The sequence below is a fragment of the Homo sapiens genome, chromosome 6, assembly GCF_000001405.40.
Source record: "Homo sapiens chromosome 6, GRCh38.p14 Primary Assembly".
Classification (NCBI taxonomy): domain Eukaryota; kingdom Metazoa; phylum Chordata; class Mammalia; order Primates; family Hominidae; genus Homo; species Homo sapiens.
This window is the reverse complement of record NC_000006.12, coordinates 104,493,985-104,520,590: the sequence shown is the minus strand read 5'-3', so window position 1 is coordinate 104,520,590 and position 26,606 is coordinate 104,493,985. Positions and strand designations below refer to the sequence as shown.

The window sequence follows — 26,606 nt, the reverse complement described above, 5'->3', positions numbered from 1 at the left end:
AAAAGAAGTATGAAAATAAGTCTAGAATCATGCAGATATTAATGACACCAATAACAGAGAATTTATATTCAGAAGCATTTGGATTATGTCTCTTAACAATATATTACCATAATATATTGGCTCTTTTAATGGATTTGAAGCTATTTGGTTTCATTTGTAAACAAAATGAAAAAGAACATTCAGCATGGATGTCCATTACCTGAGAAGTGTCCACCCTAAGGGTGACTTATAAAGTCCACTGGTTCAGCTGAATTCAAATTTAATTGACTGTTTTATATATGAACATATTTTTCAGCCTAAAGTATTCACTTGTTGTGAATGTGACTCAAATTCCACTTTCATTTTTCACTTTTAATTTTGAGATAGTTGAATGTTGAGGAAATAATTGGGTAAGTAAATAAACGAACACATTTGAAGGCAGTAATTGGGCAGCAATGACATTCAAGTTTAATTGCCAAGTTACCTGAGGGTAGAATACACATCTCCCATCATGAACATTGTAGGTACTTCTGGAGATTTAGGCAAAAGCAGAAATCAGAGGCTTTATGTCCTGCCTGGAATAAAGTTTTTCAGCAGTGATAGTAGAATTCCTCCTGATTTCACTAAACAGGCTTAAATTCTATAGTTTCTTGAAATGATTATGTATAGGGATTCTTGCGTTTCTGTCCTTTAGGTCTTTGACTTTAAAACACTACTTAATCCAAATCCATAAATGCTCACGTCATCTTCTAGCACTGTGATTATGCTCATCATAGCATGTGATTATGCACCCTTATGAATATGATCTCATGGAAATGTGACTGCCTGTCAGCATGTTTGTGTTCATAGCGTTAGCATCGTCTGGAGGCAGATTGGATGAGTGTAGGTTTGCAGTCACAGAACAGGTGTCCAGAAGGCTTCTCTTGTATCCAAGTGACTATGTGATACATCTTTTACCAAAATAATCTCTTTGGAGTAAGTTTGTCAGACTTCATTTCTGTAACACACATGAGGTTGGGCCAAGAGAAGGTCTCTAAATCTTTGGAAAGGGGAATGGAAAACGGGGACAAGAATTTCTGAAAGCATTAATTGGTGGCAGAGAAAGGCAAATTGAAGGAGTAAGGGTCCTTAGGAGGAAATTTCTCTTACTCTGTAGCATTACCTATGGCTAGTCATCGTTACTTAAAGCAACATTTCTTGCCTTGTCTCATTTTTAAATTTAGAATTCTAGTTCTCCAAGTGCAGAAACTTAATATTTAACTCCATAAGCCCTAGAAGGAAATATTGCATTTTTATTCTTTGTAATTAATAGTTAAAAATCAAACTCTTTTACCACCGATATCAGTAGGGTAAAAATTCCAAAATTTATTTTTTCTTTCAATGTTTAAGAGAAAACATTGAAAAAAATCCTATAATAAGAAAATATTTCTTTAGAAGTAAAATTTAATAATACTTTGGAAAACATTTCTTTTTTCTCTTTTCCATATGTTTTGAGCATATGGATGCCTGGAATAAATTCAACCTAGAGGCCATTCTGAAAAGGCAACAAAACCAAAGAATTCTTCTGTATGATTGGCAAATCTCAAGAGTGCTATTTAGAAGGATGCTAATAATTAAGGATGCTTCTGCAAGTTTGGGATGCTTATCAAAATCTTCTTTCTGCTGCCAGCTGAACCTGAGAACACTTTGGCCTAGCTCCGAACATTGGCAAAATGGTTCTTTAGTTCCCATTAGCCCCCTTCTCCTCCCTCTGTGATCCTCTCGCATGGGGACTTCTACTACTAAAAGGGCACATCCAGACTGCCCTGGGCCCCTGGATCTCACCTTTTCTAGCTCCTAGGATGCCACCTCAAGCTCACCTCTTTACCTAACCCCTCTTTTATCCTATCTGCTCTCATGCTCAGATTCTAGAAGGTATAAGGCAAAAGTTCACTCATATTCTATTATAGCACTGTCCAATAGACATATAATATGTGCTGCATTATGTAATTTAAACTTTTCTACATTAAAAAAGCCACATTAGCCTGTAATCCCAGCACTTTGGGAGGCTGAGGCGGGAAGATTGCTTGAGCTCAGAAGTTCGAGACCAGCCTGGGCAACATGGTGAAACCCATCTTTACAAAAAAATGCGAAAATTAGCCAGGCGTGGTGGCATGGCTACTCAGGAGGCTGAGGTGGGAGGATTGCTTGAGCCCAGGAGGTTGAGGCTGCAGTGAGCTGTGATGTCAGCACTCCAGCCTGGATGACAGAGCAAGACCCTGTTTAAAAAAAAAAAAAAGCGAAGTTCTGTTAGAAAAGTAAAAAGAAATAGGTGAAAATAATTTTATAACAGATTTTTACAAAACCCAATATATCTAAGATTTCATTGCTGCATGTAATCAATATAAACATTATTAAGACATGTGCAGAATGTGCAGGTTTGTTACATAGGCAAATGTGTGCCATAGTGGTTTGGATTGACCCATCACCTAGGTATTAAGCCCGGTATGTGTTAGCTATTTATTCTGGTGCTCTCCCCCAACTGGTCCTCCCCCGACAGGCCCCAGTGTGTGTTGTTTCCTTCCCTGTGTCCATATGTTTTTGTTTTTCAGCTCCTATTTATAAGTGAGAACATGCGGTGTTTGGTTTTCTGTTCCTGTATTAGTTTGCTGAGGATAAGCAGCACTATTCACAATAGCAAAGACATGGATGCCCATCAATGGGCAACCCAAATGCCCATCAATGATAGACTGGATAAAGAAAATGTGGTACATATACACCATGGAATACTGTGCAGCCACAAAAAGGAATGAGATCATGTCCTTTGCAAGGACATGGATGAAGCTGGAAGCCATTATCCTCAGCAAACTAATGCAGAAATGTTTTAAGTATTTAATAACTACACGTGTCTAGTGTCTACTGTATTGGATAGCACAGTTCCTTAACGTCCAATCAATCCACAGGCAGTTTGAATAGGAGAGGGAAAAAATCTCCTCCTCTGATGTCATTTTTGATCCTTCCAGGTAATATACGATTGTTTTGTAGCAGTTTCCTGGATATAATGCACGTGCTTCTGTTGTTTAACCAAGAGACTTTGGTGAGGACTTTCTGACAGATAGGATTTCAGAGGAGAAGGATCTCTGTTGTAGCTGCATGTTTATTGTGTCTAATCCTGTGGTTTTGTAGATCTGCCTGAAGATGGGCCTTGGTTTCTACTCCTTTTGGTGTGACTCTGTGACCCAGGCTCTTCTTAGGAAATTAGAAATGGATCTTAGGGCTTTGCTGTGGCATGCAGCATATGAATTTCTAGGCTTTGGGGATTGTTGGAGTTATAGTTTTATAAAAGATCTGATCAATTTCTGATCCAACCTATTCAGCCAAAACCTAGAATACCAAATGGTCCAGGTCCTCAGAGGGGTGGAGTTGTTATTGTTCAGGTTTCAGAGGTAGATGGGAGAATTCCATTTCTAGCTGCTCCACTTTCCCTGCCCTCCATCTATTCAGTTTGGAAGGTGTGTCTTATTGTACTTTAGTAAAGTGAAAGGGGAACGATGATAACCTTGAGAGGGAAAAAAGACAATATCAGAAAGTAAGACAATATCATAAAAAAACAAAAACAGTGTTTAAAATAATTCCCTAATGCATCCTCCAAAGCAAATTTAAACCTTTATGCAAAGGAGTAATTTAAATGATTCATAGTAAAAGTCGAGCAAATTTATCCAATCATCAGTCAGTATGCCAAATGATGGTGTTAGAAGAATTGCACATCAAAGGGGAAAATCAAGTTAGTTCACATAGCAACTGGGTTGTTATCCAAATTGAATAATCAAAATGAGAAAAAGTTATGTCCTCCACAGCCATAAATCAACAATAGTGGGCTCTACTGCATTTTTAATTGGCAGCATGTTTCCCTTTGTACACCCAAATATGGATTCAGGAAGTATCTCTTTAGCTGTCTGGGCACTTTTATAATGCTTATCATTATAAAACTGCAGAATCAAGGGAAGTAAAAAGGGGACCACAAGAGACAAAAGCTTTTGTGTGGATTGTAAATTATATGCATTAATGTCATTAAGCCTTTACAAAATTCGATTTCTATGTGGGTTTAAAGCCAATTTTTAAAGTCAACTACCCACCAATTAATGCAAAAATAAATGAGGGCTGTTATGAGACTTAGTCTTTAGCTTTAAAAAAGGTTTGTTTCAAATGTCAAGAATGGGTCTTAATGAATATTGGGATCAGTGAATGTTTCATAGCAGAAAAGGGAATTTCTGAATATGAGAAAAATCACATGATCTTTTATTAAAGACAGTAGGTATGTAATATAGAGAGTTTGAAGGACTTAGTATTTTTGATATTTGCTTTGAAAATTAGATGAAATCCATACTACTGTTAAAACAGTCATCTTCTTGAAGCTAATTGGGTAGTGTGCTGCAGAGACTGAAGTGTTTCCTTATAGCAAATATGCTAATACTCTGAGAATCCAGGACATGCCTCTTGGTGTTATAAAGGTTTACACTGTTGCCCAGAGGTAAGGAGCTGTAGCAGTGGTCTCCCACACATGTGCTAAAGTGGCCAGAGGAGGCCTTACCTTTGGAAGGAAGGGGTAAAATTGTAAGGTGTCATTATCCTCCTGACTCCCCAACCTGAGCTTGTAGACATCAGCCATTATGTCTCTAACTCAAGGATTTCATCTTAGGAACCGCCTTAGTGTACAGTAAAAGTTATCCTGATTTGAATTTATAAGACTTTTCAAATTAGCGAAAGTGCAATGAGATATTCTCCTGCAGGGTGTGCAAATGCAAACCCTCAGTGAGCCAAGCAGGAGACTTAATTTAAAGAAGATGAATGAATATGAAGGCCTGGGAGGAAGTGATCTTGCTACTTTGAGAGATTATGCCTGTCTAAGGGGTATTCACTGATCAGGTACAGCTGATCATGGCTCTTCAGGAATTCTTGAGAGATGTCAGGATTCCAGATTTTTATGTGAAATTGCTTGATTTTTTAACGTTGGCAAGAAATTCAAATTAACAACCCAAACAGAATGAAATAAAAAAAAAAAACTTTTTGTGCATCAAACAAAACCAGCCTGTGAGGCAGGTGCAATCAGATAGCCTTTGAATTGCAGTCTCTGTTTTATTGCTTTAAAAAAATCTCTACATTCATGAGAAAGAAAAATTCCATGATCACAATTTTCTTTTTGAAAAGAGTTTAGTGCCTTAAAGTAGGCCTTAATTACTCATCTGTTCTTATTTTATACAAACCCTGTTCTGGGTCCATTTTACTTTGGATTGAATATTTTCTGAGCTGTGAAATATACTCAGAATCCTTAGTCATTTAAGTTCTGCCTTGAATGTAGATTTTATCATAAAGCTATCTTTAATTCCTTTTCCCTTAAGCCATCTCCATGTATTTTTAAAAGCTCATCAATATAAATGTTTGTGTCTGTCTTATTTGTTTCTCATGTTTAGAAGGGGAAAAAGGAGATTGATTACAAGGATCATAAAAGTAATGATGCATTTAATGAAAGCATGTATTTTATAGATAAAATAAACTTTAAAAAATAACTTGAAGCTAGTACCCAAATTAATGTAATGAAATGACCTTCAGAAAGTAATTTCTTTATACTTGGGTCATTTTAGCCCTTTTCTTGTTTTTATTTATTTACTTTTAATTTGATTTTCTGTTTTAATTTTGATGACTTTACCCTAGTTATAATACTCCAGATTCTCTATAAAACTTAAAAAATTTCTGATAAGCCTTGTAAATTTCTGAGTTTTATCATAGTTATGATGGTTTTAACTGTATAAAATCTGAATGACCTGTTGCTTCGAAAAAAATGCTTATTACTATATCTATTGCATACCCAGTGTAGTTCAGGCAGTGTTCTAGGCACTAAAGTTCCTGTTTTCAGGTAGATTACATTCCAGTAAGGGATATAATCTACCTGAAAACAGGAGGAGAAAGCCAATAAGAAAATAGAGCTGATTTTAGTTAAAATCCAGATTAGAAAATAGGAACCAGTGTATTCCAGTGGGGGAAAGCCAATAAGTAAATAGAAAGTTAAAATCCACATTGAAAAATAGGAAATAGTCTAGGACTCTTGATTGGGGAGTTTATTATAGGGAGATTTTAGAACCCCCAACAAGACATGGGATACATAGAAAACTAAGTAAATGAAACATTACACAGTTTTGTAGTTCAGAGAAAAAACAAAGTTGTACAAGAAAGGAAATACAGTTGACTCTTGAACAACATGGGTTTGAACTGCACAGGTCCACTTATATATAGATTTTCTTCAGCCTCTGCCACCCCTGAGACAGCAAGACTAACCCTCCCTCTTCCTTGCCCGCTTCAGCCTATTCAACATGAATACTATGAGGATGAAGACCTTTATGATGATCCACTTCCACTTAATGATTTGTAAACACATTTTCTCTTCCTTAGGATTTTCTTAAGAACGTTTTATTTTCTCTAGCTTACTGTATTGTAAAAATATGGTATATAATACACATAACATGCAAAATATGTGTTGACTATGTTATCAGTAAGGCTCCTGGTCAGTAGTAAGCTATTAGTAGTTAAGTTTTTGGAGTGTCGAAATTTATACGCAGATTTTTAACTGCCTGGGGGTTTAAACAACCCTTGCATTGTTCAAGGGTCAACTGTATAATCATAATACACCTATCTAATATTGCTTTGCAATGAACATTGACGATTGATGTCTTAGTCTGTTTGTGTTGTTATAAAGCAATCTCTGAGGCTGTGTAATTTATAAAGGAAAGAGGTTTATTTGGCTCATGGTTCTTCAGGCTGTATAAGAAACATGGCACCAGCATCTGTTTCTGGTGAGGGCTTCATGCTTCTTCCATTCACGGCAAAAGGAGAGGGAGAGCCAGTATGTGCAGCGATCACATGGCAAGAGAGTGGACGCAAGAGAGAGAGGGAAGATGTCAGGCTCCTTTAAACAACTAGCTCTTAGTGGAATGCTCATGGGAACTAATGGAACAAGAACTCACTCATTACTGCAAGGAAGGCACCAAGCCATTCATGTGGGATCTGCCCCATAACTCAAACACCTCCCCCCAGGCCCCACCTGTAACACCGGGGATCAAATTTCAACATAAGACTTGACAGGGCCAAACAAACCATATTCAAACCATAGCAATTAACTTAACAAAATGTTATGAAATAACTGACCTGAGAAAATTGGAAAGAGAAATATGGTAGTGGGGCAAGAGCTAAATTCTCATCTACCATAAAGGGAATTAATGGGTGTTGTCTAAACTTGCCAAACCAGGACATAGTTTAACATAATTATTTAGAAATAGGGAGATCAGAATTATAATTTAGCTCCAAGAAAAAGTCACTGCCCTGTGACATAAGTGACATAAGACCATGTAGTGGGGCAAGCCAGTGCTATCTTTTATTTTAAGCCTTTAGCATTTGCATATTTATTTATTTATTTTTTGAGATGGAGTCTCACTCTGTCACCCAGGCTGCAGTGCAGTGGTGCGATCTTGGCTCACTGCAAGCTCCGCCTCCCAGGTTCACACCATTCTCCTGCCTCAGCCTCCCCAGTAGCTGGGACTACAGGCAACCACCACCACGCCCAGCTAATTTTTTTTTTTTTATTTTTAGTAGAGACGGGGTTTCACCATATTAGCCAGGATGGTCTCGATCTCCTGACCTCATGATCCGCCTGCCTCAGCCTCCCAAAGTGCTGGGATTACAGGCGTGAGCCACTGTGCCTGGCCTCATATTTTATTTTTAATAAAAATAATAATTCTATCTCTCTGCTTAAGTGTCTTTTAAAAATGTCACAAAAATCCTAAAAAAGATGATTCATAAAATAGTTAGTTGATACCTCTCTTTTGACAGTGTATTTCTACCTCATTTGACTGTTTCTTGTGGATTTGCCTTATTTTTTCGATGAGACCAGAAATTCCCAAACATCTGTTTTCTTGCATTGTCACAACAGTGGGAAATAACTCCTTCATATTATTAGGTCCTTTAAAATGGAGGCTCTTAGTTTTTAAAAAATCTTTGTAGCACCTAGTAGGCACTAAATTTTTTTTTAAATTTGTTAAATGTAGTTAAATGATGAGTTATTGTAAGTTGGCATTAGGATACAGAATAAAAATTCACTTTTAATTAGATGCCCTAATTTTCACTAAGCCAGGAGATGGATAATATGTTTTAGACTCTTTGGCCCTTTCTTTCTTAGTCTTGTCTAAGACAAAGGAATCTAAACAAACTATTTCATTTCACAGGTAAATTGATTTAATGGTCAGGAATGCATTTGGTGGCCAGTCTTCCAGGGGGCCCATGAAAGTTCAGGGTGAGTTGTATGATGATTGTTTTATAGTAGAAATAAATGATTGATAATACCTGCTTTCAACTTCTCCAGGAAAAGGTAATATTTTTCATGCTTTGTATTGTCCGGCTCTAGGGCTTTAATGACAAATTTGTTCGAGTGCCCAAACAGGTCTAATGCCCTTTCTGAAGGCAGTTTGGTGCTGCTGGAAGGTACATTGATAGGACTCCATTAGGACAAGGGTGTATCTGACAAAATAATGTTCATATTGTCCCTGGCACTCTGTGGGTGGATCTCTGCCATTTGTTAAGGAGTTTCACCTTTGGTAATTGCATACTTACTCATTCACACTATAAATATTCATTGACTCCCTTCTATATGCTTGGCATTGTGCTAGGTACTGGGGTTATGGTATAGGAAGCAAAACATGCTTTTGTCTATTAAAGAAAGGCAAACAGACTATGTATAAGAAGTACCATAATTGAAATTCCAGAAAGAATGCTTGAAAAACATGATTTCTATTCCACTCTAATAAATCTCCTATAGTAGAGTTTCATGTTTCAGGTGGCTCATAACTAGAAAGATATTTCTGGTAAGGAGGCTTTTAAATCACACCTCCATGTCTGTTGCTGGTATCTAAAGCAAACTGATATTTCAGTCAGCAATCCAAAGCAACTGAACTTCAAGAAAAGGGCCAGAAGATCAATGCTGGGAGCTCTCTTCAGTGGCTTCATGCCTAGCATCTATTTCTGCAGAATAGACTCTCTCAGCTGTCACACTGGGTCTAGTAGGAGATCTAGAAACCTTCATGTCTGGACTGCAATACTTCAGCTGTAGGTAGAAATGCCTTCACAGAATCAGGATTTCACACGATGTCTCTGACTTTTATAAAAGATGGGCATAAGGAAGCCTCTGAGTCTTTTGTAAACTTACATTTGAGGCTTAATCATTAACATTTTCTTTTTTCTTCCCTAAAAATACAGGTGACAAATTTATTTGGATATTGAATTCCCATTTAGCAGGAGTATACCTGGCTCATGGTAGTTGCCACATAAGTATTTGCTGAATGAGTGGATGAATGAACTAGTATATATTGAGTCTAGTATTTGCTAGAGTTTGTGCTAGGTGATTGGTGATTGTACATGTTATCTATTAATTCCTCTGGTAACACACTTTTATGTTTTAAAATCTTTTAATAAAGTAAAAGTTTTATAAATCATTATGCTTCCGTTTTTGCCTTTCTGAAAGAAATATAATTATTTCGCTACACTCAATTCATAGGCAGAACTCCATAGCCTCTTACAATCTCCTTTTTCCCTCTGCCCCAATATGTGTACATCACACACATACACACACATGCGCTTGTGTATGCGCAGCTTCTCTTACTCTGCTTTGTTTCCTTTTTGGAAATAAACGGAGTATGAGTAATAAATAAATGACTATAGGAATACAGATGGTGCATTGGTGTTGCAGATCTTTAATTCTGCTGTGATTATTGTGATAAGAGATTGGTTTAGGACCAACTTTTAGCCTTTTTAAGCACATATCTTTGGTAAGTGTCATTGAAGCATACAAATAGTTCTGTGATCAATACCAGTTAGCTTTTTTTTATATGAAGGAAATTTAATCATTGGCCATTAGCGGTATATATATTATTTGCTCTTATTTCAACAATAAACATGATGTCATATATGCCATTAGGCTGTATTTTTCATCGAATATTGAACTGTTTTACTCTGCCCATCTCATAAACAGAAACAATTAGCGTGATCATAAAATATGTAGATTTATTGAATGTAGCAAGATGCAATAATATTCCAAATTAGACTCAAGCAATTAAATCTTTTTTTTCCTTTAATTCAAGTCTACTGAGTACAGAACTGGGTTTTCATGTGCATAGAAGCTTTACAGTATTCTTTTTCCTTCTTGTCTGAACTCCCCTCCTTTGAAAAGATTTCTTTCAGTTTTGTTAATCCAAATTTAGTTACTTTAGTTCTAGAATTCCTAAAGTGCCTTAAGTTGAGCAGATGGCTTCCAAAATTCAAGAGTAGTAAATTTCACTATACATACCAAACAATAAATATGACATCAGTTGATAACGATGGCACATTTCAGATTGGAAATATTTTGTATTCTAAGGTGCCTCTCAGAAGCCACTTGATTTTTTTCACTTTGCAGACCCTTTCATCTTCTAAAAGTAAATAATGGTCCCAACATCCCTTAATAAACCTCCAGTGAATTTACAAGGGATGTTTTCACAATGCAAAGCTAAAAAATAAAAACACATTTTAAGGCATCTCTTCCCATAATCTGTGAGACACATAGTTTTAGAGAACCACAAATGTGTAAGTCCTTTCAGAATTTTGGGATTTGGGATTTGGAGGCAGCCTCAAATACTTTGTTTTTTATCTTCAATCACATTATGTGACGAGTTTAAAAATGCAAGCATTATTATTTATCTAGAAAAATACTGTTCTGTATATTGGGAGTGCAGACAGATAGAAGGAATTTCAGAGAAAGGGGTAACCCCTTTCTCCTGGGCATTGACTTTGAGGGATTGACTTTGAAATCTGTGAGATTCACAAATGAAAGCTTATGCCACAAAAGCTGCTTGTGGGTTGAAAATAATAGTGATTTTCAGGGTAAAATAAGCCAATAAGGAAGATCATCCAGAAAGTTTATCTTCGTCAAATCTGCCCCTGGGACAATAAAGATAACTGCTTTTCCTTTATTTTATTGGGTCCAAGCAACCATGTGAAAAGCTATATAATCACCGAGTAAATATTGATCATGCAATTATAGAGTAAATATTATGTTATGACAATATAAGTAGCAGATATCATTTCCGCCTCCTGAACTATTATCTTTTGATCATGTCTTAACATTGAAAATTAAATGGTGATTACATTTATAATATCTTTCAATACTCTTTCTGAATATTCTACCTGATAGTAGATTATATAGGTGGTAATGTTTTCTAAATTGCTGTTGTTTTATTTTCAACTTAATTTGGGGCTCTATGCAATTTCTTACATGGATGACCAAAATAATACTCTTGTAATGCTTTGTAGTTTTGAAAGGACTTTTACACATACCTTTTGTCAGATAGGCAACAGATAGATGACTCTTCCAGATCCAGATTAAAAAACACAAAAATCCAGAAGTATTACCAGAGTCATTTCATGCAGTTTATGCAGCTGAACTTCCCAGGTGGGGTTGGTGCATAATTTTCTGATTCTTTGGCTAGCACTATATCCACTTGTTCATCTTCCATCTGCAACAAACATGTAAAGATTACCTATTATGTGTTAGGCATTGTTTTAAGGGGCTGAGGATCCATTATGGCGACAAACACATTACAGAATGAAGGAACAGGCAGGGAACTAACAGATTGGTTGTAAGCTGAGATCCAGAAGGATCTGGCCCAGGGCAAAGCAGCTGGGATAGAATGGTAGGAATGTATGTGAGGGATATTTCATAAGATGGTTTATGGACATTTGTCATTCTTGTTGGCCCTGCATCAGTAGGACTATCAACTGTATATAAGAGCAACCTAGACCAAATAGGGGCTTATTTATCTCATGCAGTAAGAAGTCTGGAAGTCTGGAGAGCAGGGTGGTTCCTCAAAAATGCAGTCAAGGAACCAGGTTATGCTGTCCTTTGTCATGCTTGAGAAAACCATGGGGCCCCAGAGCTATCGACTGCGGGGGCCTGCCCCTTCCCAGCCATTGCTTATAACAATTATATGTCAGGGTTCAAGAGACTTATCTCTTTCAATATGCAGGACCCCGTGTTGTGAGTTTCTTAATGAAGCTAGGATTGTGGGCTTCAGACAAAAAGCATCTCCTTTAACAAAGTTGTATTTCCTTCCATCTCTGTTTGCAGACTGGTAGTTCCACTCTGGTTCATCCTTTTCTTTTAGGACATGGCTGAAAATAGCAAGGAGACAGCAGATGCCAACTTTATGAAGAATTTTCCTCCATACCTTCTAACACTACCACCCTCAGTGATGCCTGCTCTGCATTTAGCATCTATTAGGTTGGTGCAAAAGTAATTGCGGGTTTTCACTATTAAAAGGAATAGCAAAAACTGCAATTACTTTTGCACCACCCTAATAGTAGGTCACCCCAGTACATATTAAAGGTCAGCAGCTTCCTAGTTGTCAGTGAGCTAAGTTCATATTTTCCACTTTCAGTTTCCAGATTTGGTATTATGTGAACATAACACCAACATACATGTGACCAATGCCCTACCAAGAGCCAGCCTCATAATGGACAAAAAGGAGGAGAAAGTGGAAGAGATCGTACTGCTTCCATTTTCCTGGCCAGAATGGTGTTGCTGTAAGGGTTTCTAAGCAAGTAAGGTTTAGAAGACAGAAGGGGGTTAGACTGAGTGCTGAATACCTAGTACCTGCCTCAGACACATAGCAGCTGAACCTGTTTCTTATGTTTTCAATGCTCCTGTGGCTCAGTCATGAAGACTGAGCTCCACTGATCAGATCCATCCACCCAAGACATTAAACTGAACATTAGTGACATGAAGAGATAAGGATGGTATAGGATCCATTCTGGTAAGGGTGACAGTAGCAGTAGTAGCAGTAGTGGAGGGATCTGTACCCACTTCCCAGAGGTATCACATAGAAATGATAGTTCTAGAGTTCTGGCGGCAGCACTCTGGGCCCAGAGGGTGTTTGTGTGAGCTGCTGGAACTATGCCTTGAGGTGGTGGCAGTTGCATCCTGCTAGGATGTGTGCAGCGTGCACAATTTAAGAACTGTTCTTGGTTCTCTGGTCTCATTCTTTTGCTTTCCCAAACATTCTGTGAGTTACTCAGCATCACTGAGCAAATTATGATTCTATTGAAACTAACCAGAGTTAATTCAGCTTCTTGTAACTTAGCTCTCTGAAGGATTCAGAAGGATCAGTTTAGCTTGGTGGTTGCTGGAATGCAAAAGGACCAAGGACAAAGAGGAGGATAATATGACTTTTGTTCTAAGACTGGGTGGCTGGAAAAATGATAGCACCATTAATTAAGTTCTGATAGAGAATAACATGGCACAGAAGCTGGCAAGTCAGGCATGATGTGTTGTAGGACATCCTAGTGGAAAAACCTAGCAGACTGGTGATGACAGGGGCTGGGAGCTTGTGGGAGAAGCTAGAGTTAAGTATATAAAGGACCTGAGCTAGACCAGACTCTTCACGTTTGTGCTGGGCTAGCAGGTTTGGAAGAATGATAAAGAGGACTCAGCTTAAATTGTCTCCATCTCAGTTTTTTTTTATTGAAATAACAAACAAGCAAAGGATGTATGAGATAATAATACAGGTGAATGAGTAGACTCAGCTCCCAGGTGCCTCCTTGTTTCCTTCTGGAGGTGAGTCCACAATTCAGTGGTCAATGAAGTCCTCATGGAAAGAGAAATTTTCCAGGTCAAAGAAGGCCAGGGCTGTGTACTTACTGCTTCTGTGCTATTAGGCCTATGGATGTCTCATCTTAGCATGCTAGGGTCTACCCATCACCATATAAGACAAACCTAGCTGTGCCACAGTGATACACTTTCATGTCCTGTTTCCTAATGCATCATTGGGCCTACAGCAAGCCTGGCCCTGGTCCATCAGAGGAATCTAAGCATTTTGTTCAGCTGAAGTAAACGGCTATCCTGACACTAAAAGATAAGGCTGTGGTAATCTGCTTAGGACCTTGCTGAGGCATTAAACATTGATTAATTACAAAGAGGACAAGAGCCAGAGCAAAGAGCATCTCTATTAAGCTGGCAGGGTCTGTAAGTCTTGGACAACACAATAGTTGCAGTGACCCTGGGGCTTATTTGTTGGGGATCACAGTTTTTCACTTTGATTCACTAATGGCAGATCTACCAGCCTTGCTAGAATTTGTTAAAAGAGTTAAATTCTGCAGGTAAATATAATGCCAGGTGTAAAATATGAAAGAGGGCAGCTAAGACATATTCTGAGTTGCCCAACTGGGAGATAGGGTTAGCATACACACAACCACTGTTTTGGATGAAATGTTTAGAGTCCATAGAGTAAAATTTCATCCCTGCATATTCTAGTAATATTAGCATACCTTCTGGAGATGTTTCTTGATTTAATTCCCTGGAAAATTGCTGGCATCTTTCAGACAAACACAGTAAAGTTAAATTAGGTTCCACATTTAAGTGGGTATGGAAGAGCTTGGCTAACTGTTTACAGTCTGGGTTCACAGTTGGACTGCATTTCCCAGACTCCCTTGCTGTCAGGTATGGCCATGTGTGGAAGTGATGCGGGCAATTTTCATTCCTGGAACCATTCATGCATGTACTTCTGTGATCATGGAAGGAGCCTGGTCCCTAAATCACCACAGAGTGAAAAGCTGCTCGCTGACTAAGAACATTTATATCAGACTCTTTCATGGGTGAGAAATAAACTTTTCTTATGTTGAACTGCTGAGATGTTTGGGTTTATGTTTTCCCTTAACTAATGTGGATTGTTATAAAAATATCAACAATTTAAGGCTTTGTTTGTATTTATCTTGACTGTGTGAAGTTCACCCTGTGTTAGGTAAATCAAGACTCTAGTGACACATTTAATTAATCACCTCAAGTTCTTCTTGTCAGAACTGTTTACATTCTACTCTGACTGTTGGATTCCATTTCTCTGCGGTCTTTCATTCTACATCTTCAGGTTCATTAGTCACTTGGGTTTAATTCTATATATAAGATAAAAATATGGACTAGACATTTAATTGGTAGAGCTAACTACCTATATAAGGCTTTTAAATCTACAAGTTTATTCAGGGGTTATACATAGAGTGAAAAAATAAACTTTCAATGGCTAGGCTGAAACAGAGGTTATCAACACTGCCTTTCCACATACGTGTCATCAAATTATACGGATCTGCCCTACACTGACAATGCATCTGTTTTGCATATACTTTCTGAAAATATGACTTTGAACTCTGTGCTTTCCAAACTCGGTTTTAGAGAACTAATGATAGCAGTCTATATATCTACTAGATCAGAGACTGGCAAACTTTTTCTGTAATGGGTCATATGGTAAATATTTTAGGCTTTGTGGGCCAAATGGTCTCTGTCATCACTACTCAACTCTTGAAAGCAGCCTTGGACAATATGTAAACAAATGAGTGTGGCAGTGTTCCAAAAAAGTGTATTTCCAAAAACAGGTGACAAGACTTAGTCTGCCAACACCTGCATATCCAAATTTTATATGTGGATTAAGCCAAGTCATCAAAGAGCTTGTACCAGAGACTATTTATTTCATCCCTTTGGAATCTGGATTTTACTGAATTGTGCTTTGAAGTATATAACTCAGCTTCCCCATGAGAGTGTCCACTGTTTCCCTTGACAGTCTCGAAGGACATCCGGTTAAGATGGCCAAATGGCTTAGATTAGAGCTTTTCAAATTATCTATGCTTAAGAGACAGTTTCTTTCTTTTTAAAATTTATAATCTAGGCAGACGGTCATTAAAAATATGATAAAAATGAATTAGTAGAAAAATGAAATGCTGGATGTTGTAGCAGTGTCAGATTGCCGTGTGAGTTTCTAAATGATTACTCTCAGTTTCTGTATTTATCTAGTCACAGACCAGGAATTAAAAAATTGATTAAGACCTTGGTTAGAATAGGTATCAATGATATAGTAAAATGCATATAATTTTACCATAGAAAATGGAAAGGCAAGTCTCTTTTGGCTGTCTGCTAGGAGTAGCATCAGGAAGTGTCTGGCTGTTGGTAGATTGGGATCAAAGCTCACCCCACAACCAGCCATGCCAAAACTTGAGACATTTTGAGAGATGTTTTGGCAATTGTGTCCACAACAGTCAATATAACCCTCACCAGGTTGATGCTTTTAGCTAACTGGGAATATATTTTGCATTTTGTAAATCAGTATGCCTATTAGGGGCACCCAATTAAAAAAAAGTCAAGCATTCTAGAGAAATGGTGTATTAGTCTGTTCTCACACTGCTGATAAAGACATACCAGAGACTAGAAAATTTATAAAGAAAAAGAGGCTCAAGGGACTTATGGTTCCATGTGGCTGGGGAGGACTCACAATCAGGGCAGAAGGCAAAGGAGGAGCAAAGTCATGTGTTACATTGTGGCAGGCAAGACAAAGAGCATGTGCAGGGGAACCCCCCTTTATAAAACCATCAGATCTCATGAGACTTATTCACTATCATGAGAACAGCACAGGAAAGACCCTCCCTTATGATTCAATTACCTCCCATATCCAAATTATGGGAGCTACAATTTGAGATTTGGGTGGGACACAGCCAAACCATATCAAATGGTTAGAGATTCTGGATCAAAACAATCTCTTCCTTGCTTCTGGCTCTTGTCCCAGGACTTTTACCTAGTGCTTGGTGGTTCATTTTGGATTTGAAAAATCTTGAATAATTTTTTTAGCTTTTTTCTGCAGTTTTATCTCTAGTCTGGTTTGATATGATTTGAGCAACAATATAATCTCAATCAGGACAGCAACACAAATCCATTACTTTGATTATTATAACATAAACAAAACTATTTCTGAGTGTTTCTTATTAAAAACAAATAGAATTGCTTTAATTGACCATGAAATCCAAATTTTGGGCACTAATTAGCAACTTCATTCTTGAAAAGTCTACTGTCCTATGCTCTAAGCTAGATTGAATTGAAATTCAGGAAAGCAAGTAAAATGAACATGCTTATCATTCATCTTCTAGATTTCTTCTGAATTTTGTCCTTGGAGGTGTGGGAAGAATGAATATTGAATATTCATACTCAACATGAATATTTTGGAAGCTGGGCCTGAAAGTTAAGGTATGGTGCAACTATGATAGATTTAGAGCAGGGAGCCAAGGAAGATTCAAAAGACCTGGAGGTCGGTTGAGGGTTCCAGGTGAAACTGGAATTGAGACTAAGCAAACAGGCCAAATGACAGAGAGGTGAAGACTAGTTATAAGGCAAGAGAATGAATACCAGGTAGACCCAGATGGAACAAACAAGTTTGAAATGGAGGGTTGAAGGCAAAGGCTGGACAGATTCCTTGAAGTTCTGGAGTAAAGCTATAGGGTCTTTTTTAGAGCATTTGTATTTGGCCTGGCTCATGTAAGGGCCAGTCACTGTGAAGGAAACCAAGCCAGAATAAATACTTCATTTTAAAATTTAGACCACTAGAAAATCCTAGACCTGTACTATATTACTCTCACTGTATGAATAAATGCTTTAAAGAGACTATGATTTGAAATATAGCCTTGAATTTTTTTAAACTCAAGGGTGAGTATTAAAATAGCCAAATGGAGAATATTTCTGCATGCTTATAAACTTCTATTGAGCAATTGCTATTCTTTTCAACAATAAATTGCTTTTTGAGTTCAGAGTTAGGGAAAAAAGATCTCTACTGCTTTAACAGTATATTTTCTAGAAATGGTATTAATAACACAAAAAGCAATTATGTTCCTATTTCTGTTATATAATCTAGAGAGCTTATAGGACAACTGTCTAGAGCCACTTTTTGTTTAGAACTATTTGATTTGTTAGAAAGGCCTTTTCATCTTTGTTCTAATGGTTCAGGTATACTGCTTGGTGCAATGAGGGACACACAGGTGAATAAGATGTGGCCCTTGAACCCACAGAGTTGAGAGTCCATGGAAAAAAATAACAATAGGCTACTGTATAATACAAGCTGCTAAATGTGGTGACAGAAAAGTATATAACATGAACCAGGAAGGCTACACACAGGAGGTCACATCTGACCTAATCCTTAATGAACAAGAGCTCATCAGATGAAGCTGGGGAAGAGCATATTCTTGATACAAGAATCTGCATGAGTGAAAGAAAGGCGATGTGAGAGTGTGTGATAGAATAGGAAATGGATAAAAGTCCAGTATGGGAAAATTTAAGGATGGTCAAGATCTGAGGGATGTGTCTGGAGATTTGTTGTAAAGATAAATTTGGTCCTGGTGGTAAACCCTTGGCTACCTTGACAAGAGAAATTGAATGCTACCTCATTGGCCATTGTTTCCCCAGGTGTTGCATGCATCCAGCTTTGGGAAGTTAGAGTCAGTAATAACTCTGTAAGCTGGTTTATAAATGGCCACATTTTCACCTGTTGAATTACTGGCTCTTCTCTGTATGGCTGTTGACTGATGAGCTTGTATCATATCATCCTCATAGGTTCACTGAAAGCTAAAAATGAGATGAACTCAGTGAAAGTACTGTGGAAAGAGGCACCTGGCTGGATATTTGAATCTTCTTAACCCTGAGCTCTGCTTCAGTCTCATCTGTTGTGTTCATGACATGACTCTCTAATCACTATGGGCAATTGGGAAAATGGTTATTTTCAAAAAGAAATTGACTTGTCTCTTCGTAGTTTAATGTAGAAGCAGGTATAGTTTGGTTATGGTGAAATCTGGTAAGTTGGTCTTTGTGATAATACATACCTTTTGGTTTCAGAAAACATTGTATACTTATTTTCTATATGACTAATTTTCCGAGCACTTTTCATTCTAGATAATTTATCTTCATCCCCTAAAATTCCAGCAGAAACAATTCTTCCTATTTAAGATATCTTAGCAACTGGTACCCAATTTATCTAATGTATTCCCTTAGCCTCTAGGAGAAATTAAAAATAATCTGTGGAGTACTGAGTATAGTCTAATAGCAGAAGGGTACCATAGCCCATTGTTTCTAACTATTTGCATCATTTTTGGCAGGTCCAATGACGGCATCCACAGATGAGGCCAAAGCTTGAATGCCCTTGGAGCCTATACTGCTTTTAGGCCCTGGCAGAAACATGGTTTTTAAATCACATTCCAAAGTGCAATTACCAACAATGAATAAATACATCATAACAATGGGGGAAGCAGAAAATGACTTTAGAAAGACAGAGTGATCTTTTGAGACACAGTCTATATAATTCCTAGGAAGCCCTGATAGTATCTTCTTGGGAAATCTCCCTGCTGCAGGAAACTGCCTTCCTAGATTTTACCTCACTGCCTCTAGTTGCAGTTACTTCAGGTAAACAGACCTCCTTTTAACTGTGACTCTTCCTCAGAGAACCAAAATATGCTTTGTTTTTTCTTGGGCCCTATAGGATCCTGGTTTGGGATAAATCTCATATGTCTATTTTCCAAAGATCATTTTGGTTTCTCTGTATTTGTAAATGCACTTGATTGTAATCACAAAAGAAAAGACAGTGATGCACTGTGTTGGCTCTGAAGAAAAACATTGACCAGACAGAAAGTCTTCCCCATAGCCAAACTGAGCTGTAATGACCGTGCTTTTCATTTCTCCCAGGAAATAGTAATATAATTGGTCACTGTATTACAGTAAACAGTTTGTTCATTCTTTGTTCAGTAGAAAATGTTTGGGAGATATGTCTCACATAATATGCTGGCTTCACGATAATAAAGACTGGGAATAGATTTGTTTCTAAATAAATCTCAATAAATACATTGGTAAAATGAACACAGTAGGAAGAATAAACAATGCAATTAGGAATATCTTAAGTACATTTACATGTGATAATTTGCAAGTGATCATTACATTAAGACATGTCTTGGGCTGATTTTCTCAAGGGCATTTGTGTGAAAAATGAACATTTCTGAATTAGAATTTTTGTCATGGAATAGAAACAAGAGGTAAGAACATGTTTTCGAATATGCAGTAAAAAGATCACCTGCTCCTCTGAAGACCTAACACTGACATTCATCTTAGTACATAAAAGAGAAAATATGCTGAGGATGGGCAATGTAGGAGTAGGAACTATAACAGCAACAGCTGCAGAGGTGACTGTAATTCTAATGGATTGCTTGTAGTGACATCGGCATGCTTCTGAATTTGGCGGGAAAGTAATGCACAGAATTAAGACAGCAGCATTAGTGTTGTGTTTTCTTATTAGAAAACCTCAACAGCTCATTGAATGCAGGAAAATTTTAGAGATTCTATTTTGCAAGAAGCCAATGTAGTGGCTGCAAAAGTAATAACACCAAAATGGAATGCACTAGGGAATGTAAGCAGCACAGGTTGGTACATTAGTTTGAGTTATTCAGCCAGTCCCGAAAAGGGTAATATCCCATTTGAATGACAGGCAAAGGAATTCAGAAGGATAACAGTCATTTTCTTTATTGTTGTTATTGTTCTAGTTGCTTGTTTGTCATTTTTTTATTAGCTATATTAAGCTAAGGCAGCTTTTAAAAACTTATTTTGAATATCCTTTTATACAATTGTAAATCTGCACCCTTTCATTCATGCATTTTAAAAGTTATATTCTGCATGTTGAACAACCTGCTCAAAGCAGAGAAAAGTAACTTGTCCTTTAACTGGTAAGCCCATTGTAAGGCATCCTTGCACATTTAACTGGAAAATATATCTAAACAGCACTTGATAAAATTACAAGAAGTTGTATTTAAATTTAATTTTCTCTGCAAGTACAGTTAGCATCATTTTTTACCCCCACTGGTCTCTAACATACTATTTTTGAGGAAGAAAAAAATGTTTTTGCTACCATGGCAACAGTATCCTTCTCTTGCTTTCCATCACAAACTATAGTTTCTGAGCATAACTAGGGAAATTGAAATGTGGGTAGCTCAAAATGATAAGGCCAAGCATGGTAAGCATTCATCTAAATGAATATTTGTGTCATTGTTCTTGCACTCGTGGTAAGACTAGAACTTTCAAGGTCAACATATTTGTTCATCGTGTTCACAGTGGCACTCATAAAAGATTATTGCCACTTATTGGGCAACTACTCTCTTCACTAAATATCTTATTAGCATGATTTTCCAAAGATGATAGGAAATTAAAACACTCCATAGTACAGTTTATTTTGTGGTTTTGAGGAAATGTAATACAAAGAAAGGGCACATATTCTAGTGAATTTTATAAAAGAAATGATCTGCTACTTGACCTGGAGTGTGTGCTGGGGGTGTGGGGGGAGGAAATAGCAAAGGCTTATAGAGAAACTGATTGAGCTCATTCTGTTATTTGTTTCAGGGGTGACTCCAGGATGGTGCCTCTCTTTGTGATGTTCTCGCAATAACAATATTCTTTTTATTTTCCTTGATCTTTCACAGCCTGTGGATATTTCAGCTTGCAAGGTTAAATAATGTTTTTGCTCCATGGCCAGTTTTTAAAATCCTCCCTGGCTCTGCTATGACACTAGATTAAAAAAACAACAAAACAGCCTTTGTTTCCCATTGCTTGTGCTTCACATTTCCTCTCTCTTCAGTTTTTCCTTAATCTCTGTCCACATTGACTTTGATCCTTGAACTCTTTTGCCTAACCTTATTTGGATGGGCAATCAGATTTCAAACTGGCCAACCAGCCTGACCTTGGCACTTCCCCCAGGGAATTGCACTGTGATGCCACATAGCACACCTACTAGAGGCGATCTTGGGGATACTACCGTGTCTTGTTCAGACATTAAGGACTTCACCTGCTGACATCCTCTGTGCTCTCTTGGTTCAGCCTGTCTATGCAGGAGCATAGAAAAATGTCCTGTGGGTCAAAGACTGACCTGGACCTCACAGGAGATTTGCTTTCTTGAGTAGATGGCTATATATTTTTCTGCCTTGTCAAGAACACATCTTACCACATTTGGCAAATTCAAGACTGCTTCACAGACAAAACTGATGAACCAGGAGTAAACTGGAGTTTACACTCTTGCCCTTCACTCTACTTTGGTTTCAAAATAATTATTCAATTCCACCTTCATATGATTACATGTCCAGGAAATATATTTTTTGTTTTTAACTCTTGAATTGATTCTCTGTGTCAGAAATAAAGGGGTGCAGAATGCTGGTTTGAGAGTTTTGGTTATATGGCAGCAGGAATTGGCTCTTTACATGGCTCTTTTAATGGGCCTAGTTAGAGCCTTAGGAAAGGCTTTGTAGTGCCAAAACACCCTGGCTTTGGGTCACATTTTCAAAACTTTAAGTGCCATCTCTATCACTTACTAGGTCTATCACTAGGTACACTAGTAAGTTCTTTTTTTTTTTTTTTTTTTGAGACAAGAGTCTTGCTCTGTCACCCAGGCTGAGTGCAGTGGCATGATCTTGGCTCGCTGCAAGCTCTGCCTCCTGGGTTCACACCATTCTCCTGCCTTAGCCTCCCAAGTAGCTGGGACTACAGGTGCCTGCCACCATGCCTGACTAATTTTCTGTATTTTTAGTAGAGATGGGATTTCATCATGTTAGCCAGGATGGTCTCGATCTCCTGACCTCGTGATCAGCCTGCCATGGCCTCCCAAAGTGCTGGGATTACAGGTGTGATCCACCACGCCTGGCCTATTAAGTTCTTTTAAAATAAAGATATAATGCTTATGTCAAGGCTAATCTGAGATGCAAATGACAGAACCACAGTAGAGCAAGACCTAATATAAAGGACATATTTAATACATAACTTTCTTCTCTCCGATAGGACTGTAGGGGCTTGAATGGAGTTGCATAGCAATTGTATGTTGGCATGCTTCTCTTTGTTTCCCATTAGAGTATCTTCCATTTAATAAACTTTACTTTGTCCAAGACGGGACACACAGAAGATGCTAAAAAATTATTAGTTTTACAACATTGAAACAAATTGATACTTAATTTTCACATCAAAATTACTTAAGCAGCTGTGGTTAAGTTAACTTCTAGGTTAGAAGTTAAATGTGATATTAGAGCCTGAATGAATGAATAGAGTGGCAACCTTGGTCCCTTCTTCCACTGGCCTAACAACTCTTGAGGCAGAAGAGGGCATGTCTGAGGATGTGAAATGGCTGGCCTATGGCACAGCCAATCCATTCCTTTCAGCCTTCTAAGAATTGATGTGAATTGCAGCCAGATCAATTTGGCTGTGGCGATTGGTATCGATTGTGTAGATGGGCAAAAAAGAATGGATTTGCCATGTCATGGAATAGTTCATTTGCCTCTTGTAGATACTATAGTAGTCCGGAAAAAATTTCACAGTGGTGAAAATCAGGAAATGCGGCATCTTTTCATGATCCTTTCTTATCTTCGTCTTGCCTTGTGTGACTACTGGCTATATAGCTCCATGTAGATGCTTCTATGGGACATCTGAACGTGTTCTCAAACTCATCTTCTTCACTCTAAAATTACTTCCTAATTGTCCTCAGGGGTACTATCATGTAAGTTTGAATGTTCAAAATCTTCCTTAACTTACCTCTCTCCTTTGTCTGCCTTCTTTCCATTCCCCAAGCCCATTCTAATTATGCACCAGATTTGTTTCATTCTTAGAAATGTATCTTAAATTTTTACCAGTGTTTTCTATACCCTCCGCCAGCCCTCTTGTCTTGTCTGGAAACATTTATTCTACCTGCAATCCTGCTAAATATTGCTGTGCATATTCTCTTTTTAAAATGCTGCTCTGATTGTTTAATTCTATAACTTAGAAATTTCCCCAGCTTCCAATAACTCAGTAAAATCTTTAAGAACCACCCCTCTGCTCGATTGGGTGACTTTGAAAAAGATGGACATTTCATCTTCTGTACTTTCTTGGCAGGCTGGCAGGCTTGGTGAGGCAGAGATAGAGAGCAGTTCATCAAAATGCATGCTCCTCTTTCATAGCCTGGAATTGTCACCAAGTGACAGCCTAGCTCGGGGCTACATTTTCCAGTTTCTGCTTAAATCCAGGTGAGACCATGTGTCCAGTTCTCACCAATGGAGTGTGAATGGAAGTGATGGATATCTGTTCCAGGCCAAGGAGCTTGACAAGTGGGTGTATCCTGGCTAGATGAGAAGACTCTGAGGCCTTGGGAGACAGCGGGACTCCAACATGGAACGACCCTAGATACCTGAATCATGAAGTGGAGAAAATATACCAATCAGGAATATCTACATTGATCTATTACATTACCAAGAAACAAATCTGATGGTTTTACATTGAAATTTTGGGGCTCCCCACTACCACACTTTTATCTATGTCTTTTCATCTTCCTAGAAAACCCTGCTTATTCCTCTCTACTAATCTCAGTTTTACCATATTTATAGATTCAGTTCAAGCTTCATTGCTGTTTAGCCTTTCTTAATTATCCCAAACCAATTTGTTGTCTCCAGTCTCTGAATTTCTTCATTGCTTATTTTCCATATTGCTATGCAGTTCTTCTATGGTAATTATCTTTTTGTTCATTCTTCTAACAAATATATAAGTAAAAGTGTACTTTGTTTCCAATTATGACTAGAGCCAAAGTTGAAAAATATATATGTCCTGTTTTCTTAAACTTAGCATGCCTTTGTTGAAAGCAAAAAAAAAAAAAAAGTCTACTATATTCTTCAAAGTGTCTGGTGTGCAGGATATTATTATTTGAAATTGTTTTCGTTTTGTTGTTTAGAGTTGGTATTTTTTTAGAATAAGTGTGCTGATTTAATCAAGTACTTTGAGCACCTTAATAAAAAGGTCTACAGTGACTCTACGGCTGTGGTATCCAGAAGAAGTGAAGGTGCTACCTCTCAAATTGAAGAGAAAGATTCATTCATACCACCTCTATGGAGCAGGCTTGGTAAATTCCCAGAATTCCATCCCCTGGTTGGACTTCTAGGTAAATTTTACCTAAGCATGGCCAGGAGGCAATTAATATATGGCAGTCGCCATCGTCACAAAAAAGATTCGTTTTTTAAATAATGGAAGATTCATACTGTTTCCCCTTAGGCAAGACAGGTACCAAAACATGAATAGAAAAGTTGGGTTCTTCTAACTTCAACTTAAACTATCCGATTATTTTCCAACTATTATACAAAATAAAGTTGGTGGTAAGAAACTTGAGAATGTTGAAGACGAATGCTTTCTATATTTCATAGTTTTATGATATCTGGATACCAGTGCCTTCCCTCAAAAATGACTACATTATGACTCATATTTCCTTTTTATTTTTAAAAATATTGATACTTCTTTCTTTTTCTTTTTTTTTTTTTATTATACTTTAAGTTTTAGGGTACATGTGCACATTGTGCAGGTTAGTTACATATGTATACATGTGCCATGCTGGTGTGCTGCACCCACTAACTCGTCATCTAGCCTTAGGTATATCTCCCAATGCTATCCCTCCCTGCTCCCCCCACCCCACCACAGTCCCCAGAGTGTGATATTCCCCTTCATGTGTCCATGTGATCTCATTGTTCAATTCCCACCTATGAGTGAGAATATGCGGTGTTTGGTTTTTTGTTCTTGCGATAGTTTACTGAGAATGATGATTTCCAATTTCATCCATGTCCCTACAAAGGACATGAACTCATCATTTTTTATGGCTGCATAGTATTCCATGGTGTATATGTGCCACATTTTCTTAATCCAGTCTATCATTGTTGGACATTTGGGTTGGTTCCAAGTCTTTGCTATTGTGAATAATGCCACAATAAACATACGTGTGCATGTGTCTTTATAGCAGCATGATTTATAGTCCTTTGGGTATATACCCAGTAATGGGATGGCTGGGTCAAATGGTATTTCTAGTTCTAGATCCCTGAGGAATCGCCACACTGACATCCACAATGGTTGAACTAGTTTACAGTCCCAGCAACAGTGTAAAAGTGTTCCTATTTCTCCACATCCTCTCCAGCACCTGTTGTTTTCTGACTTTTTAATGATTGCCATTCTAACTGGTGTGAGATGATATCTCATAGTGGTTTTGATTTGCATTTCTCTGATGGCCAGTGATGATGAGCATTTTTTCATGTGTTTTTTGGCTGCATAAATGTCTTCTTTTGAGAAGTGTCTGTTCATGTCCTTCGCCCACTTTTTGATGGGGTTGTTTGTTTTTTTCTTGTAAATTTGTTTGAGTTCATTGTAGATTCTGGATATTAGCCCTTTGTCAGATGAGTAGGTTGCGAAAATTTTCTCCCATGTTGTAGGTTGCCTGTTCACTCTGATGGTAGTTTCTTTTGCTGTGCAGAAGCTCTTTAGTTTAATTAGATCCCATTTGTCAATTTTGGCTTTTGTTGCCATTGCTTTTGGTGTTTTGGACATGAAGTCCTTGCCCATGCCTATGTCCTGAATGGTAATGCCTAGGTTTTCTTCTAGGGTTTTTATGGTTTTAGGTCTAACGTTTAAGTCTTTAATCCATCTTGAATTGATTTTTGTATAAGGTGTAAGGAAGGGATCCAGTTTCAGCTTTCTCCATATGGCTAGCCAGTTTTCCCAGCACCATTTATTAAATAGGGAATCCTTTCCCCATTGCTTGTTTTTCTCAGGTTTGTCAAAGATCAGATAGTTGTAGGTATGCGGCGTTATTTCTGAGGGCTCTGTTCTGTTCCATTGATCTATATCTCTGTTTTGGTACCAGTACCATGCTGTTTTGGTTACTGTAGCCTTGTAGTATAGTTTGAAGTCAGGTAGTGTGATG

At 37.7% G+C, this 26,606-nt stretch overlaps 1 long non-coding RNA gene across 4 annotated transcripts in view; it reads left to right on the top strand.

Moving 5' to 3' along the window:
* The window catches only part of LOC105377918 (uncharacterized), a 64,633-nt gene that overhangs the window by 6,882 nt on the left and 31,145 nt on the right, over window positions 1–26,606 (top strand). For 2 of the 4 annotated variants that reach the window (XR_001744272.2, XR_001744273.2), the window contains exons 2-4: window positions 8,232–8,299; window positions 16,990–17,086; window positions 18,443–19,285. This is a non-coding gene — a long non-coding RNA (uncharacterized LOC105377918). Of the gene's footprint in view, window positions 1–8,231; window positions 8,300–16,989; window positions 17,087–18,442; window positions 19,693–26,606 lie in introns of those variants that run through there. The other 2 variants (XR_942828.3, XR_001744271.2) reach the window with 2 other exon arrangements.